This window comes from Homo sapiens, chromosome 3 (assembly GCF_000001405.40).
Source record: "Homo sapiens chromosome 3, GRCh38.p14 Primary Assembly".
Classification (NCBI taxonomy): Eukaryota; Metazoa; Chordata; class Mammalia; order Primates; family Hominidae; genus Homo; species Homo sapiens.
Genome location: NC_000003.12, coordinates 100,438,794 through 100,456,554, shown reverse-complemented (window position 1 = coordinate 100,456,554; position 17,761 = coordinate 100,438,794). Strand labels below are relative to the sequence as shown.

Below are 17,761 nucleotides of genomic sequence, written 5' to 3'. Positions count from 1 at the left end.
ATTTATCTCTATCTCTATCTCTATGGATCTATCTTTAGCTCTATCCTATTGGTTCTTTCTCGCTGGAGAATCCTGACTAATACAAGGTCCCACCTCAGAGTGCTGAAGCTTATTTTAGGTAATGCATTAAAGCATCCAGCATAGTACTTGGCATGTTAATTACCAGTTCTCCTTAAATGATGGCCATTAGACATACTTACATAATTACTTCTGGATAAGAAAGTAAACTCAAGAGTCATACCAATGACTTTTATTTAAGATGATTTATGAGTTGATGTGTGAGAAGGGTTGGTGAAGCTATGTGGGTGGCTCTTTAAATACCTTCCATTATATTTTCAAATTTTTCTTTATTCTATTAAAATACCTTTTATTCTCTTTATTCCCATAAAAAGGCAACCAAGCAGATTATACTCTCAACTAAGATGCCAGCAGTAATTGGGGTATGATGCAAGTCATCTTGGAGCAGCTACATACCCTGCCCACTGCAGTCAGTCAGCATCTGCAGTTGCTTTTTATAGCTGTTTTTACCCCCAACCCCGCCCCCATCCACATCCTGAAATGGTGAATTGGGGCTCAAAGAAAAAAACCAAAACAGTAGCATCTGATGTCATGAGGCAGAAGCAGAGTATTATTCAGGCCCTTTTTCAAACAGGGGAGCCATGTGTGCTTCTCCATGCTCTTCTTTCCTAGAGCTCCTTTCTTCCTCTACTTTCTTTCGGGATTTTATCTCCATCCTCAGGCATTCTCTTTCATTTCTCTCCTTTCTGCTTTCAGGTCCCTGAAAGGGAAAGATCAGAAACAGGTAAAAATGCACAAGCAGCTGACAACACTCCACATTTCTCTTAATAATCAGACATGGAGAAAGCCCTGATGGTTTAGCAGACTTCCACCTCTTGGTTTCTAGAAATAAATTAGCATAAACCTAAGGATGTTGCTAAAGGTTTCGGTCACAAAGAAAAGAATAGAGGGGGTTGGACATCAGCAGATGGTCTGGGAAGGAAGTACAACCTGCACATGCCTATGACTCTTTGCCTCTGAACATACTGAGGGGTGTGATTTCATGGCACAATGAAATTAATAGTTCCCTGGTGCTTTTTGAAACGGAAAGTGGCAAATGAGATCACACATGGAATGATTCTTAGCTTTCTGTGTTCACTCCCTTAAATTACTTTAATAGTAGAGTTTGCACTAAATTTTAATGTGAGGACTGTGGGAAGAATGAACTGTTAAGGAATGACGCCCAACCAGATTAACACCCCCCGACATGTGTCCCCAGGATTCCACATTATTCACTGATTAATTGAACATAAACTGTTGTTGTAGGATCAGGAGATATAACACTAAATAGACCTACTTCCTAGATATTACACCTAGGTGGAGGGATACAGACAGTCATCAATAAACCTAAAAGGAAATGAAAAAATAATCAATAGTGATAAGTGCAATGATAACTGTAAACAGAGTGATAGGGACCTACTGGAGGGTGGGGGGGTTGCTTCTTTAGTTATATGGCCAGAGGGTGCCTTTCAAAGGAATTATCAAAACAATGGCATGGATAAATGTGGCCACCGTATCTATTTATCCTTCTGTTTTAAAAAATAAACAAGCAAAATCATTACTCCTCTCCTGTTTGAACTAGAAATGTTGGGAAACCCCTGAGTGCTTATCAGGTGAAGTTAAGCAGTGGTGAGTGGTGGTCACATGAGCAAGGTCATGCTTGCTCAGCCGTGTTAGTTGAGAGTTATTGAGGCATCTGTTTAACACAGTGGTGTCAGCCGCTCTACAATGTTAACGCAGTCATGAAGGTCTCTTATCAAAATGGTATAAGAAAGAGAAAATAGAGTGATGATTAAAGACTATCTGAGAAATGCTTGTAAATAATGCCCTGAAATACATTTTATCACATCTCTTAGATGCTAAATGTGAAAATTATCAAAAGAAGCCCACTGAATTTTTAAATATCAAAATGAAAGAATTTAACATTGTTGGTCATGATCAGGACACAGAAACAGTTTCTGGTTCTTTTTTATGTCAAAATATGTAAAATTTAAATCTAGGTATTAGTATACATTTGGTCCCCAAACAAAAGACGATATAAATCATTTTTAAATTTACTGAAAAAGAACACTTTCTAATGTAGTTAGCCTTAGGAAAGTGTGTAGATTATCAAATAGGGAAAAGTTGAAGTGTATCTGTATATGTTCGGAATTTCTAATTTTGCATTAAGATTTTATAATGTACTCTTTAAAAACTGATGTAAAATAAAATATTCAATTTATAATTAGTTATTATCTAATGTGCAAATATAAACATAATTTTATAAATTCCTAACAGATTTCTAGTTATTACATATAACTGTGAAAAAGAGTTTTTGAGTTTAAAAAGTAGAAAATGCTTCCCTAAGTATCTTGGAACCCAAAAGGAAGAATGTGGAAAATGAATGCAACAAGCATATTTTGTATTTTAGAGATAATATGATGAATATCTTTTTAAGCAAAATGACTTTATACACTTTTAGGGCTTATAATAATAATATTAGCTAATGTCGTGAAAGACAAGGAAAGACTGAGAAAGTGCTCCAGGGTAAAATAGAGCACAGGGACATGAACCTCGGTAGCAACACATGATTTCAAATTTCACTATAAAGAATATTATTGGGACAACTGGCAAAAAAATATAAGTAAGGTTTATGGATTAGAGATAATAGTATTATATCAGTATTAATTTCCTGAGTTTAATTATTGTATTGTGTTTATGTCAGAGAATGTTCTTGTGCCTGTGTTTGGAGGTGGGAAAAGGAGAGATAGTGTAGGCAAATAGGGACATGTTAACATTTGGAGGTAATCTAGGTGAAGGGTGTATGGGAATTCTTTGTCCTATTCTTGCAACATTTCTCTAAGCCTGAGACAATATGAAAACAAAAAGTATTTTTTTAAAAAGACAAAACAGGAATTCTTTTTTTTTTTTTTTGAGAGTCTTGCTCTGTTGCCCAGGCTGGAGTACAATGGGCCCAATCATAGCTGACGGCAGTCTCAAACTCGAGCACAAGAGATCCTCCCACCTCAGCCTCCCAAGCAGTGAGGAATACAGGTGCAGGACACCATGGCTGGTAATTTTTTTTTTTTTTTTTAATTTTCGTAGAGACAGGATTTCACTATGTTGCCCAGGCTGGTCTCAAATTCCTGGCCTCAAGCGATCCCGTGGCCTCAACCTTCCAAAGTGCTGGGATTACAGGAATTCTTGATAATAAGGTTTAGATACAGTAAAATGACAGCTGTTCACTATTCTCCCTTCCTTGTTCCTCTTATGATCAGGTGGAGAAAGCAGCCTACTGAAGGGAAACCATATGGATACAGGGTCACTCTGAGCAAAAGTCAGGTGTCACTTGAAAGGCAAAGGTGCATAGTGACAGTCCCAACAGCCAGTCTGCTAGGTAGAGAGCACTGTGCTCAGGTGGACAATGAAATACGAAGCACCCAAGTATCTTCACCAGTGGACTCACAGAGTCTAGCTCCAGAACCAGAAGTCATTACACTTAGGTGCAATTATTTGTTTTGTCTACTACCTGGCAGTGACCCATTATTATTCCTGTTTTGCAAAATAAAACAAAAAACCAAAGACCTACAAAAAAAGAAGCATTTTGCTCAAGGCCAGTCAGTGAGCATGCTGCAGAGTTGAAACTACCCCCACATTAATTGATCTTTAGTTTATTACTTTATGTATCAAGTTTAGCATCACCAGTGGAGATTCTATTCTTCCCCCTATTTCATGTCTGTCTCTTCCTTTTGCTTTACTTTGACTCCCATGACGTCACCATGAGCACCTAGCCCACTCCTATTCCTGGATACTTACTAGACAGTGTTTGGTCGTTCTTGTGTTTTTTAAGTATAGGAGAACAAAACACCATCATAGACTATTTGCTAGAGGATTAAATATGAAAGGAGAGAAGCCATGGGGCAGTTTTTTTTTCTTTTTCCAAATTGTAAAAGGGGAATGAGTTACAATTATTTATAATAAGGTTGATGAAAGCAGGCTCAAGAAACTAGGGGGCTGGGTGTGGTGGCTCACACCTGGAATCCTAGCACTTTGGGACCCCGAGGCAGGAGCATTGCTTGAGCCCAGAAGTTTGAAACCAGCCTGGGCAACATAACAAGACCCTGTCTCTAGAAAAAAAAAGTTTAAAATTTAGTCGGGCATGGTGGCACATGCCTGTAGTCCCAGCTACTCAAGAGGCTGAGGTGGGAGGAACACGTGAGACCAGGAGTTCGAGGCTGCAGTGAGCCATGATCAGGCCACTGCACTCCAGCCTGGGCAACAGAGTAAGACCCTATCTCAAAAAAAAAAAAAAAAAAGAAAGAAAAACTAGAAGACTTTGGTAACAAAAATGTTCTGGGAAATCTTCCTATACCAGATGTCTTCAATTATAAATAATATTCTTTAAAAATTCATTCTGGGTTATGTTAAACTGAATGTCATTTTTCAAAGATCTTATTACCAAGCTGTAAATGAAGAAGTTACATTTGTTCCCCTCAATCATAAAGAGGACAAAACCTTTGGGTTTCCTTTTTTAAAGCGGCTTAAATATTCAGTAGCTCTGTTACATACCAAAGAGGCAGAACGCTTGGTTCTAAAGCACAGTTGCCGTTCAAAGGACTCTGAAAATTTCTCAATTTTGGAATGGGATCTTCCTTTTGATTCCAGTGGCTCCTTGAATGACCCATCCTCTGAGTATTTTCTGTAATCCCGTACGTGGCTACGGCATCGAAATTCTTGGTCCTCATGAGAATGCCTTCTAGGATGGCAGTCAGATGATGGAATTCTGGGAAGCACAGGAAGCTGAGAATACAGAATGAAAAAATTTACAGTATAAAAGGACTGTGCAATGTTAGCACAGAGGCAGAATGTTTATAAACTAGTAACTAAATGAATCTCATGTTGAATTGATATATTATCTTTGTGAAAGGAAAATAAAACTTGAGGCCCCCAAATCACTAAGCTAAAGGGAAAAGTCAAGCTGGGAACAGCTTAGGGCCAACCTGCCTCCCATTCTTTCAAAGTCACCCCTCTGCTCACTCATTTATCTCATGCATTGAGACAAACACATACCTGATTGCCTCCTTTGGAGAGGCTAATCAGAAACTCAAAAGAATGCAACCATTTGTCTCTTATCTACCCATGACCTGGAAGCCCCCTGCCCACTTTGGGTTTTCCCACCTTTGAGTTGTCCTGCCTTTTCAAATCGAACCAATGTTCATTTTGCATATGTTGACTGACGTCTCATGTCTCCCTAGAATGTATAAAACCAAACTGTGCTCTGACTACATTTGGCACATGTCATCAGGACCTCCTGAGGCTGTGTCAGGGGCATGAATTCTCAGCCTTGGCAAAATAAACTTTCTAGATTAACTGAGACCTGCCTCAGATTTTGGGGGTTCACATTTTGGCAACCATGAAGGGATTCTGAATGGAGATGCCCCTGACCTTTGACAAATCTCCCATTGCTGCTTGGTACCAGCATAAGCTAACTTTATGGCTCAAACCAATAGGACAATTTGCTGAGGTCTGAGACCACCCCCTCCAGAGAGTCGCTGATCTCCCAAAATTTGGTCAAGATCTAAAGTTTATTTTGCTGTACAACTCCTCTCTCTCTCTATTTATTTATTTATTTATTTTTGGAGTTTTACTTGCTTCCAACAAGGAAGGCAAGATTTCCTGTTGCCATGATGATGGAAGGCAGGTAACTCCTTTATGGAGTTTGAGCTCACTTCCAACAGGGAAGATGAGGTGTTGTTTTTGTTTTGTTTTGTTTTGTTTTCCTGCTTCTTAGGATGGTAGAGAGCAGTCTACAGCCTGAGACCCATGCCTAAGTAAGGAACTGAATTAGGGTTTGTCTTGGCTAAAGTTAAGATTGACATCCAGGCCAGGCGTGGTGGCTCATGCCTGTAATCCCAGCACTTTGGGAGGACAAGGCGGAGGGATCACCTGAGGTCAGGGGTTCAAGACCAGCCTGGCCAACATGGTGAAACCTTGTCTCTACTAAAAAATACCAAAAAATTAGCCGGGCATGGTGGTGTGTGCCTGTAGTCCCAGCTACCCGGGAGGCTGAGGCAGGAGAATCGCTTGAACCCAGGAGGTGGAGGTTGCGGTGAGCCGAGATCACGCTATTGCACTCTGGCCTGGGCAGGAAGAGTGAAACTTCGTCTCAAAAAAAAAAAAAAAAAATTAACATCCAGTTGGCATTAATTTCTCCTTGCCATTAGAGCACTCAGTGACCATATAAGTTGTGCCATCGTTTAACTGTTTTTTTATTGTTGTTTGTTTCTGTTTTTGTTATTGTTTCAGTCTTTTTCCCATTGGGTTTGATCAACTCTATCTGACTTGATCAAATCCAAAAGAAATTTCCAAAAATATGGGGAACAAGGCCTCTGAAGTGGCTACGTTCCCACCAAAAAAAAAAAAAAAAAAGTGGTATGGTGTGGAGAAAAACGACCAGCAAAAGGAAAAATAAAAAAAGGAAAGTTTTTTTATTTTGACTACTTAAGAGTCTTTATTTACATAACAAGGCCATCTTTTTGCTAGCCAGGCCAAGCTGAAAGCAATGACTGTCACCCCGCATTGCAGTTTGATAGCTAAGGTCCTGCCTTCTTTTTTCCACCATGACAGCCTGGGTTTTGTTTCTTAAATAAAGCCCTTTCTGGTTTGATACTTGGTACTTCTGAAATAACTACAATTTTTCCTAACTAAAATATGGTAATAAGATTTAAAAGGTTTTTTTAAGGAGCTCAATGACTAAAGTAAGCTTAATTAAAAGCTAACATTCAAGATGTGTGTGTATATGTGTTATGTGTGTGTGTTTGTATTTAAAAGGCCTTTATGTTTTTGGTTGTTTTTTTTGGTTTGATTTTGTTTGTTTGTTTGTTTTGTCTCCTAGGACCTTGTCCTTTTATGAGCAAAAGTTTTTTTCTTCTCAGTTGATTGAACCCTGTTTTCTTCATTTACTTCTGCTGTCTCTCCTTTCTCTTGCATCCTCTGCTGCATGAGAGACCTAAAATAGTATATAATAGCCCAGGGTTCTTTAACGAAAACGGAGAAGGTGCCAGACTCCCTTTGGGGGAGAAACCTGTTTTTCCTTATGGAACCACAGGAGTGTAAACAGACAAGTTTATCTCAGCTTTTAAACTGCTTGCTTTTGTACTGTGTCACCTGATTTATTACTAAAATAGTTACTGCAACAGAGGATACCCTTGGATTTTTAAAGAAGAATGTATTTAGACACTTAGAAATGTCTTTATTAAAAAAAAAAAAAGTTTAAGTGCACTATGAAAACAACACATGGGCTAGCCTCAGGGTAATTCTCCGTTTTTGGAAACCCAGAATTCAATGTGGGCTCTGCCCAAAGCTCAGAGATCCGGTTAAAAGACAGGTAGTCCCTATGTAAATAAAATTAGTCTCCTTATACAATCCTATAATAGATTTTTATAATTTTATGTTTTATTTGACATCCATCTTTAATCTCCCTCTAGCACACCAGACTTTTATTCTCCATATCTGATAATGTAAGTTTTGCTACTACATTTTTCACCTGAGTTGTTTCCTTTAATATGCAAATTTAAAGCTATTTAGCTGATAACTGCCTAGGGTTGTGAAACAGGTTATTAAGAATCTGAATGTCTAAGATAGGAAAAAAAACGGTTTTATGAATCTATAAGATGTACTTCCTTCAGCATCTGTAATACCTCTATGTATTTATGTGTTGTGTACACAGTGTTTCACTACTGAAAATATATAAAAGAGCTCTAACTAATTGGTTTAAAGAAAAATAAAAGCACTTGAATCAAATACTTTATCAGGAAAAAAGAAAAGACTAGTCAAATGCGTTTTCAACTTTATGTAACTTAAGTAAAACCCTTAATAAGTAAGCTAACTTTAAAATTATTGGTAAAATAATATTATAAATGTTTTAAGAACTGCCAGCATACATATTTGTTTGCATTTATTAATCAAGTAATTTTATGCTTATCCCTGCCAAATACTATAAGGTGACAAAATTTGACATAGGGGTTACAGAACTATAAACCCAGCCAAAAACAGAATGATCTTTACTCATGTAATATTTAATAAATATGACATTGATATTGGTTTAATAAAAATAGCTACATTTTGAATTTAGTAAGATTAGCATAACTTCTAATCTTGTGGTTTTAGGCAGTCTAGTCCACAGGCAGTAAGGTTTGTTTTGGCAAAGGACTGTTATTGTCTTTGTTTCAAAGTAAATTATAAACTAAGTTTCTCCCAAAGTTAGTTCAGCCTATGCCCAGGAATAAACAAGAACAGCTTAAAAGGAGGTTAAAAGCAAGATGGAGTCAGTGAAGTCTAATCTTTTTCACTGTCTCAGTTATAATCTTACAATGGTGGTTCCATAACGTTAAATGATGACTATCACAGTTTTCATAAATTAGGTAAACAATTAAAATAAAATAATTAGGTAAAAGTAATGGGATAAATACTTGTAGACAAACTCATCATAATTTAGAATCTGAAGTTAATCTAAAGAATAGAGATTTCATTATTTGGGTATTTTCCAGTTAAAAATATATTTGTAGGAAAACATTCTTTCTTAAAGAAAAGGTGTGTCATTTTAAAAAAGAAGAACAATTTTTGTCTAATTCAAAGCTTATTTAAAGCTCATATATAAAACAAGGTAACAGGAACCAGGAAACAAGAGCGATGTAAAAAAAAGTTATCAAAATAAAGAGGGAATTTTCTTGTAAGAAAGCTTAAAGAGAAATAATTTCACAGGAGAAAGACTCTTGTATGGTAAATTTAGTCCTAGAGTAAAATGACTGGTTGTTTAAGGAAGAGGGATGCTCAGGACAAACCAGAAAATCTAAGCATGTTGTGAAAGGTCTGTGTAAGTCATAATAAAGGGATTTTTTTTTTAATTCTTTTTTTTTAAATTATACTTTAAGTTCTAGGGTACATGTGCACAACATGCAGGTTTGATACATAGGTATACATGTGTCAGGTTGGTTTGCTGCACCCATCAACTCACCATTTACATTAGGTATTTCTCCTAATGCTATCCCTCCCCCAGCCTCCCACCCTCCAACAGGCCCCAGTATGTGATGTTCCCCCCACTGTGTCCAAGTGATCTCATTGTTCAATTCCCACCTATGAGTGAGAACATGCGGTGTTTGGTTTTCTGTCCTTGTGATAGTTTGCTGAGAATGATGATTTCCAACTTCATCCATGTCCCTGCAAAGGACATAAACTCATCCTTTTTTATGGCTGCATAGTATTCCATTGTGTATATGTGCCACATTTTCTTAATCCAGTCTATCGCTGATGGACATTTGGGTTGGTTCCAAGTCTTTGCTACTGTGAATAGTGCCATAATAAATATATGTGTACATGTGTCTTTATAGTAGCAGGATTTATAATCCCTCAGGTATATACCCAGTAATGGGATCGCTGGGTCAAATGGTATTTCTAGTTCTAGATCCTTGAGGAATTGCCGCCCTGTCTTCCACAATGGTTGAACTAATTTACACTCCCACCAACAGTGTAAAAGCATTCCTATCTCCACATCCTTTCCAGCACCTGTTGTTTCCTGACTTTTTAATGATTGCCGTTCTAACTGGTGTGAGATGGTATCTCATTGTGGTTTTGATTTGCATTTCTCTGATGACCAGTGATGATGAGCATTTTTTCATGTGTCTGTTGGTTGCATATATGTCTTCTTTAGAGAAGTGTCTGCTCATATCCTTTGCCCACTTTTTGATGGGGTTGTTGGATTTTTCCTTGTAAATTTGTTTAAGTTCCTTGTAGATTCTGGGTATTAGCCCTTTGTCAGATGGGTAGATTACAAAAATTTTCTCCCATTCTGTAGGTTGCCTCTTCACTCTGATGGTAGTTTCTTTTGCTGTGCAGAAGCTCTTTAGTTTAATTAGATCCCATTTGTCTATTTTGGCTTTTGTTGCCATTGCTTTTGGTGTTTTAGTTATGAAGTCCTTGCCCATAACTATGTCCTGAATGGTATTGCCTAGGTTTTCTTCTAGGGTTTTTATGGTTTTAGGTCTAATATTTAAGTCTTTAATCCATCTTGAATTAATTTTTGTATAAGGTGTCAGGAAGGGATCCAGTTTCAGCTTTCTACATATGGCTAGCCAGTTTTCCCAGCACCATTTCTTAAATAGGGAATCCTTTCTCCATTTCTTGTTTTTGTCAGATTTGTCAAAGATCAGATGGTTGTAGATGTGTGGTGTTATTTCGGAGGCCTCTGTTCTGTTCCATTGGTCTATATATCTGTTTTGGTACAAGTACCATGCTGTTTTGGTTACTATGGCCTTGTAGTATAGTTTGAAGTCAGGTAGTGTGATGCCTCCAGCTTTGTTCTTTTTGCTTAGGATTGTCTTGGCAATGCAGGCTCTTTTTTGGTTCCATATGAACTTTAAAGCAGTTTTTTCCAATTCTGTGAAGAAAGTCTTTGGTAGCCTGATGGGGATGGCATTGAATCTATAAACTACTTTGAGCAGTATGGCCATTTTTACGATATTGATTCTTCCTATCCATAAGCATGGAATATTCTTCCATTTGTTTGTGTCCTCTTTTATTTCATTGAGCAGTGGTTTGTAGTTTTCCTTGAAGAGGTCCTTCACATCCCTTGTAAGTTGGATTCCTAGGTATTTTATTCTCTTTATAGCAATTGTGAATGGTAGTTCACTCATGATTTGTCTCTCTGTTTGTCTGTTAATGGCATATGGGAATCTTCATGATTTTTGCACATAGATTTTGTATACTGAGACTTTGCTGAAGTTGCTTATCAGCTTAAGGAGATTTTGGGCTGAGACGATGGGGTTTTCTAAATATATTTTTTTAAAAACCAAAAACTTTGATATGATCCAGTTGTCATAATACTATTAGGTTTTGGTTTGCTAAAATAAACTGAGATTAAAAATGTTTTTTAATTAAGGTTCTTACATCGTGTATCTCTCTGTATACACTTTTAAATACTTGTGACATTGAGTTACAGGCTTTGACTCCTGGGTCTAAAAAGGAAACCAAGTCCTGATAAATGTTAAACACTGACAGCAATTAAAGCCCTATCTTCAGGCCCTGTAGAAAATGCCAATCAAAATAAACTGCATTCCTGAGACCCAGGGCCAGAAATTAAAGCTATTCAACTCCTCAAGGCCTGGGGACTGTCAAGGAAGAGGTGGGTGTGTGAAATTGTAAGGGCTAATTTTGAGAGATAAAATAAGTTCAGTTTCTCTATACTTTTTTTGAGAGAGAGTCTCGCCCTGTCTACCAGGCTGGAGTGCAGTGGTGCAAGCTCAGCTCACTGCAACCTCTGCCTCTGGGTTCAAGCAATTCTCCTGCCTCAGTTTCCCAAGTAGCTGAGATGACTGGTGCCCACCACCATGCCTGCCTCATTTTTGTGTTTTAGTAGAGATGGGGTTTCACCATGTTGGTCAGACTGGTCTCAAACTCCTGACCTCAAATGATCTGCCCACCTCAGCCTCCCAAAGTGCTGGGATTACAGGCATGAGCCACTGCACCTAGCCAGTTCCCCTATAAATTAATCATCAATGTCAAAGGCACACTGATGCAAGACCAGCACATGGGCCCCTATGTCAAATCAACATGGTTTTCTTGAAGCATTAGCTGACGCCTTAATAAAGGTTATAAAGGTTTTCAAAGGCTTATGGAAGGTATATCTTACAGACAAGATTAAAATTTTATAGATTGTTTATAAAATTTTGAAAAACAAATTTAATTGGCTTCATGCAGTTTTTATTAGGGCTTACTGTTTGGAAAATTAAGTCTCCTATCTCAAAGAATGAAGATTTCACCGTTTTAAAAAAATCCTTTGAGTTATTACTTTGGTTAAATGAAATGACTTATTTCACAATGACCTGTGATCCTATTTTGTGATATCAAGTGTTTTAAACCTTGGATATTTGACAAATTTTCCAAATCAAATAATAAATTATGTCTTTTCCTGACCTAATTAGTCCTTTAAGACATGAGGTTCCCTAAAGTCCAAAAATGACATAATTGGCTTAGTTGGTATTACAATTATACAGGAAGCATTATCAAATATAAAATGGTGTTTGGTTTTCTTAGGGCTGTATTTCTATAAATATGTTATTGGTATGTGTTCCAGAAGTATGGGAAACTCCTATAATTCTGATATGACTTAATGGACATTATAAGTAATAATTATAATTGTTAGGTTAAATTATTGTGTGCCACATAAGTAACAATTTTCCTTGTCAATTGTGTCTTTATGACAACTTTTTTGTCATCCATGGACAATTATTGTCTTGTGTTGATCCTCTTTAGGAGGTGGTTTTATAATCAGCTATAAAACTCTTAACAGGTGCTCTTGAATGAGGTTTCTGATAACTTTGGAGACAGTGACATCAGAATAGAAGAAAAACTTCAAGACTCATGGAGAGCTGAAATGTTTATGACTATCAAGCAGAGCAGGAATTAACTCATCAACTAAACTAATTATAGAAGTCTGAAGTAATCTTTTTAACTTTTTGCCTAAAACACTGCTGAGCCTTTGTTTTGTTTTTCAGAGTCAAGAAAAGTTTTAAGCTATTTACAATAGGTTTTAACAACTGAGTAAAGTATACTCCTATGAACAAAATTTGGAGCATATTTGTTTTCTCTCTACCTGATTTCTCCAGAATTTGGAAACTGTTTGGGAGTATTCTTAACTTATGGCAATACAGTTATTTGCTTAAGTGCAATAAGAATCTGTTTTCATTTACAACAGGACACAATTGGAGAAACTTCTTATTTTACCAAGGCTTTGACTGGAATGGTGTGCTTTCCTTTAAGGAATCAAAGTTGACTTACAAAGCCACTAAAATCCCTGGGGAAAACTGGCCGCAAACTTGTCTACGCAATTCCTGTATGGGGTTCCTGACCTGTGGTAAGTAAAGAATGTAACGTTCTTATAGGCCTAAGAGCCTCAGGTTTTATCTTAGAACCTCAAGAGGAGAGGATCGCCCAACTCAGCTCAGCTTTTAAAAAAGTCTTATCTGAGATTCCTTCTATGGAACAAAGTTCCATCAAAGCCAATTTAAAAGCCTATGTAAAAAATAATTATTCTTGTTGAACTGTATACAAATGATTAGGCCAAGTATAATAAAGCACAGCAGTCCTACCATGATTTGTCTTTGGTAAAAATGGGAAACTGGAGAGAGAAAAATTGTTTCAAAAACTATAGCACACCTGTTGTTAGATTCTAGTCTTGCCTAATGTTTTTCAATTTTTATTATTTTCTACATTTTGGACCGAATTCTGTATTTTCTTGGCTCCAAGTCTTCAAAGCATTGTTTTCCATTTTTTCCTTCTTTTTTTCCCCATGTTTTTCTCATTTGGAGTCATCAAAATCCAGGCTGTGCTTTCATAAAGCCCTGCAAACTGAAGCTAGACAACTTAAACTTCAGAAGAAAATAACAGCAACCTATTTACATACATAAGCCACTAATACCTGCCTACTGATGTATGGACTTCAGAGTAATGTGACCAATATTGATTTTCCAGAATTGTTCTTTTGTTTGTTGTTGTTTTTCTTCCTTCCTCCTCCTATTTTCTCTTCATAGGACATGAGACTTCACAACTTGCTAAAAATGAGCCTGCATAACAACTCAGGACCTACCTGTCTAGGAATAAACCATCCTATCTGTGAGAGATCAGATGAAACCTGAGACCAGAGACTCATTTTCTTCTAAAATACTTATTCCAAAAGATTTTATTTTTAAAAAAAGGAGGGAAATGTGAAAGAAAAATAATCTTGGGGCCCCCAAATCACTAAGCTAAAGGGAAAAGTCAGGCTGGGAACAGCTTAGGGCCAACCTGCCTCCCATTCTTTCAAAGTCACCCCTCTGCTCACTGAGATAAATGCATATCTGATTGCCTCCTTTGGAAAGGCTAATCAGAAACTCAAAAGAATGCAACCATTTGTCTCTTATCTACCCATAACCTGGAAGCCCCCTCCCCACTTTGAGTCTTCCTGCCTTGGTTTGAGTTGTCCTGCCTTTCCAGATCAAACCGATATTCATATTGCAATGTTGATTGATGTCTCATGTCTCCCTAGAATGTATAAAACCAAACTGTCCTCTGACCACCTTAGGCACTTGTTGTTGGGACCTCCTGAGGCTGTGTCACAGGTGCGCATCCTCAACCTTGGCAAAATAAACTTCCTAAATTAACTGAGACCTGTCTCAGATTTTCAGGGTTCACATCTTCTTGATCAGTAAGACTTTTCTCCTACAGTGAGGCAGCAGAATCAATTGGTTAAAACATTAAGTAGAACATCCTGAGACTAGCTTTGTTGCTTACTACTCCATCATTAGAACACTAAAACAAAAGACGCCAAGCCTTAAGTTGATATGTAAAAATAAACTCCAAAATGATTTTTAAAATTTTTTAATGGAGCCATAAATGTTTAGGAAATATAAGGGTAAATATTCATGTAATTCCTATATGGAGAAAGAATTTCTAAGCAAAAGAGCAATGGAAGAAGTCATAAGGAAAAAATCAACTTTACTATATAAAAATATAAAGCTAGGGCCAGGCACAGTGGCTCATGCCTGTAATCCCAGCACTTTGAGAGGCCGAGGCGAGTGGATCACCTGACATCAGGAGTTTGAGACCAGCCTGGCCAGCATAGTGAAACCCTGTCTCTACTAAAAATACAAAAAAATTAGCTGGGTATGGTGGCAGGCACCTGTAATCCCAGCTACTCGGGAGGCTGAGGCACAAGAATCACCTGAACTCACGAGGTGGAGGTTGCAGTGAGCTGAGATTGCACCACTGCGCTCCAGCCTGGGCAACAGAGTGAGACTCCATCTCCAAAAAAGTAAAAATAAAATAAAATTTACATATATATATATATATATATTTAAAGCTAATGCGTATCAAAAGCAACATAAACAAATTTAAACTATAGGTAAAAAATGAACTTTAAAAAATTTGCTGCATATTGCTAATGTTTAATAAATATCCTAAAGATACATCAGTACATCTCACACAAATAAAAAGAGATCATATAATATAATGACATCAATCATTAACATCACAACTGGAAAATGGGCAAAGGACAGACAGTTTAGACAAGCCAAACTTTTTGAAATAATTATGACATTTGCTCTCTCAATTTCTCTGACTCACTCAACTCACTCCAGTCCAGCTTCCTCGCCCACAGCTAATTTTGATCAGGATATTGGTCTTCATGTTGCCAAATTCTGTGCACTTTTTGGTCTTCATCTAAGTCATTCAGTGGCATTCAACTCTGTTATCCACAGGAGCCTTTTGAAAACACTGTTTCCTTGCTTGCTACCACCGCACCTTCCTGCTTTCCCTTTGATCTTGCTGCCACTGTAATTTAGACATTTGCTCACTTCTTCCTTCTATCAGCTCATAGCTGTTGGGGCTCCCCAAGGTTCTAGACTAGTCTTCCTTTTCTATCTTTCCTTTCTCACTGGTCTTTGATCTCTTTCTCGAGCTCACCTGCTCCTGTGTAGCGCAGGCACTGGCACAGGCTCCTCCCTGCCAGTGACCTCATCCACAACCCTACTCCCTCATCTTTCTAATGGCTAATCATCCTTCAGTCACAGGAAAAACTGCATTTCCTCAGAAAGCCTTTTCTACCTTTCTGATTGGTTCAGGTTCCTGCCAGATGCTCTCCTGGTTTCCAATGCTTCTCCTCTGGGATACTTATCACAACTGTCATTAATAATTCGGGTAATTTTGTTCAGTGCCTCTCTTCTCCACTAGATTGTGTGCTGCATCACATCAGGGCTATGTTTTACTCTCTGCTAGTACCCAGCACCTTGCCTTGTTCACAGCATGGGTTCATTAAATATATATTGAATGTACAGTATAAAGAATAGAAGAAAGGGAAATACCAAATGGTTACGAATGTTAATATTTAATTAGCAGTCAAAGATTATGTAAAATAAAATAACAATATTTTTACCTTTCAGGGTAGCAAAAAAAATGTGTTTTAATAATACCAACACTGGCAGGAGTACAGGGAGACAGGAACTATCATCCCTTACTGATGGGATTAAAAATGTGTGCAGCCTTCTTAGAAAGCCTTGAGAAATATGTGTTAAGAAGCTTAAAATATTGGTATCCAAGAAGATGTAAAAAAGAAAAAATAATAAGCTTAAACTATTCCCCTCCTTAGATCCAGCCATTGTATGTTGTTATGGGCTGAACTATATCTCTCCAAAAATCATAGGTTGAAACCCTAACCCCCAACAGCTCTGAATGTTACTGCACTTAGCTATAGGGCTTTAAAGAGGTGATTACGTTAAATGAGGCCATTAGGGTGAGCCCTAATCCAATCTGACCGGTGTTTTACAAGAAGAGGAAATTTGAACAGGTAGAGAGACAACAGAGTTGCTCACTGTCAGAAGAAAGACCATGGAAAATCACAGTGAGAAGGCAGCCATCTGCAATCAAACAAGCAAGGCCTCAGAAGAAGCTTTAATCTTGGACTTCCTAGCCTCCAGAACTGTAAGAAAATAAATTTCTCCTGTTTAAGCCACCCAGTGTGTGGTATTTTGTTATGGCAGCACTGGCAAACATATGCATATCTTTCTAGATATGCATACCTAGAAACTTACTCTCAAATAATAATCAGAAATATGGTTAAAGATATGTAAAGCTGCTGAGACACCTAAGGTAAATCTCTATATATTAGTCCATTTACTAAATAGGTCAGTCATGGTAGTAGGTGCTGTGGATAGGATGGGGAGCAAAACAGGCTATTAGAGATGGCATCTGCATAGGAGATAGATGTTAAACAACTAGGGCATGTGCCTACGTCCTTGGCTAAATGCTATAAAGGGGAAGTTCAAGGTGCAATGAGAAGGTAGAACGGGGTAAAACTATATATATTGGGGTGGGTGTTAGGGGGGTAGAGGAGAAGTATCCAGAGAGAATTCTGTGAATGTGTGCTGACTGAACGACAAGCTGAAGGATGAGCAAGGGTTAGAGGACAAGGACTGCTTTCTGCCTGGAGATGAGCACCACATGGGCAGATCCACTGCCATGGAAGAAGCTTGCTGGCATAGTGGTGCTGGGGAGCACAGTGGACCAAGAGGAACCAAGAGAGCTGGAATGAGACATTGAGGGATTTCAAGTAGGGCAATATCCCAAGATTGGTAATGTTAAAACATATCAGACTCTTACCAAAGTTTTTCTCTGTGGTGTGCTATTGTTTTCTTCCTTTTCCTTTTTTTTTTTAGTATTTTTCGTAGTTATATCTGGGGAACATGTGTTATATTGTCAGGAAAAAAATAATAATAAATTAAAGTTTTGTGACTGGGAGTGAAATGGATGTTTGTACAAATGTCCTTTTCCATTAAGGAGCCTAAAAAGAATGGCAAGAGTTTGATCACAACGTAAAGTGTGTACTTAAAACTCCTTACAGCAGTTAGGTTTTGCAGTTTGTCTCTTCGCTTTGGCATATGACTTTGTGGAAAATGGGCCTAAAAGAGAACTGTAATTGGGACAGGGAGAAGCTCCTCCTCTTAAAAAATGTTTACTTGCTATGCGAGCTCTATTTTTGGAATTTTATATGCCCTTCTAAGGTAATTTTCCCCAATAAGACCTAAAACAATGTCCCAAATGGCTTAAAATAGCCTCACCTATCTATCCCCTGTTTTGTGAATCACGCTGTAGCACCTGGGTTGCTATCTTCTCACACTCTGAGCTCACCCTGGGCTCC

At 37.8% G+C, this 17,761-nt stretch overlaps 1 protein-coding gene across 1 annotated transcript in view, besides 1 other annotated feature; it reads right to left on the bottom strand.

Moving 5' to 3' along the window:
• Window positions 1-235: 235 nt before the first annotated feature.
• The window catches only part of LNP1 (leukemia NUP98 fusion partner 1), a 54,781-nt gene continuing 37,255 nt past the window's right edge, over window positions 236-17,761 (bottom strand). Inside the window, exons 3-4 of the mRNA NM_001085451.2 lie at window positions 4,606-4,836; window positions 236-778 (exon numbers count right to left, since the gene is read on the bottom strand). Of these exons, the coding sequence (NP_001078920.1) occupies window positions 629-778; window positions 4,606-4,836 (381 nt within the window). The 3' untranslated portion in view covers window positions 236-628. The remainder of the gene's footprint in view (window positions 779-4,605; window positions 4,837-17,761) is intronic.
• Window positions 4,846-5,383: an enhancer, noted in NCBI's record as "OCT4-NANOG hESC enhancer chr3:100170016-100170553 (GRCh37/hg19 assembly coordinates)". NCBI's record gives its function as "activates a minimal SCP1, AML or CMV promoter by ChIP-STARR-seq in naive H9 embryonic stem cells {active_cell/tissue: H9 hESC(naive)}" and the evidence as "EXISTENCE:reporter gene assay evidence [ECO:0000049][PMID:30033119]".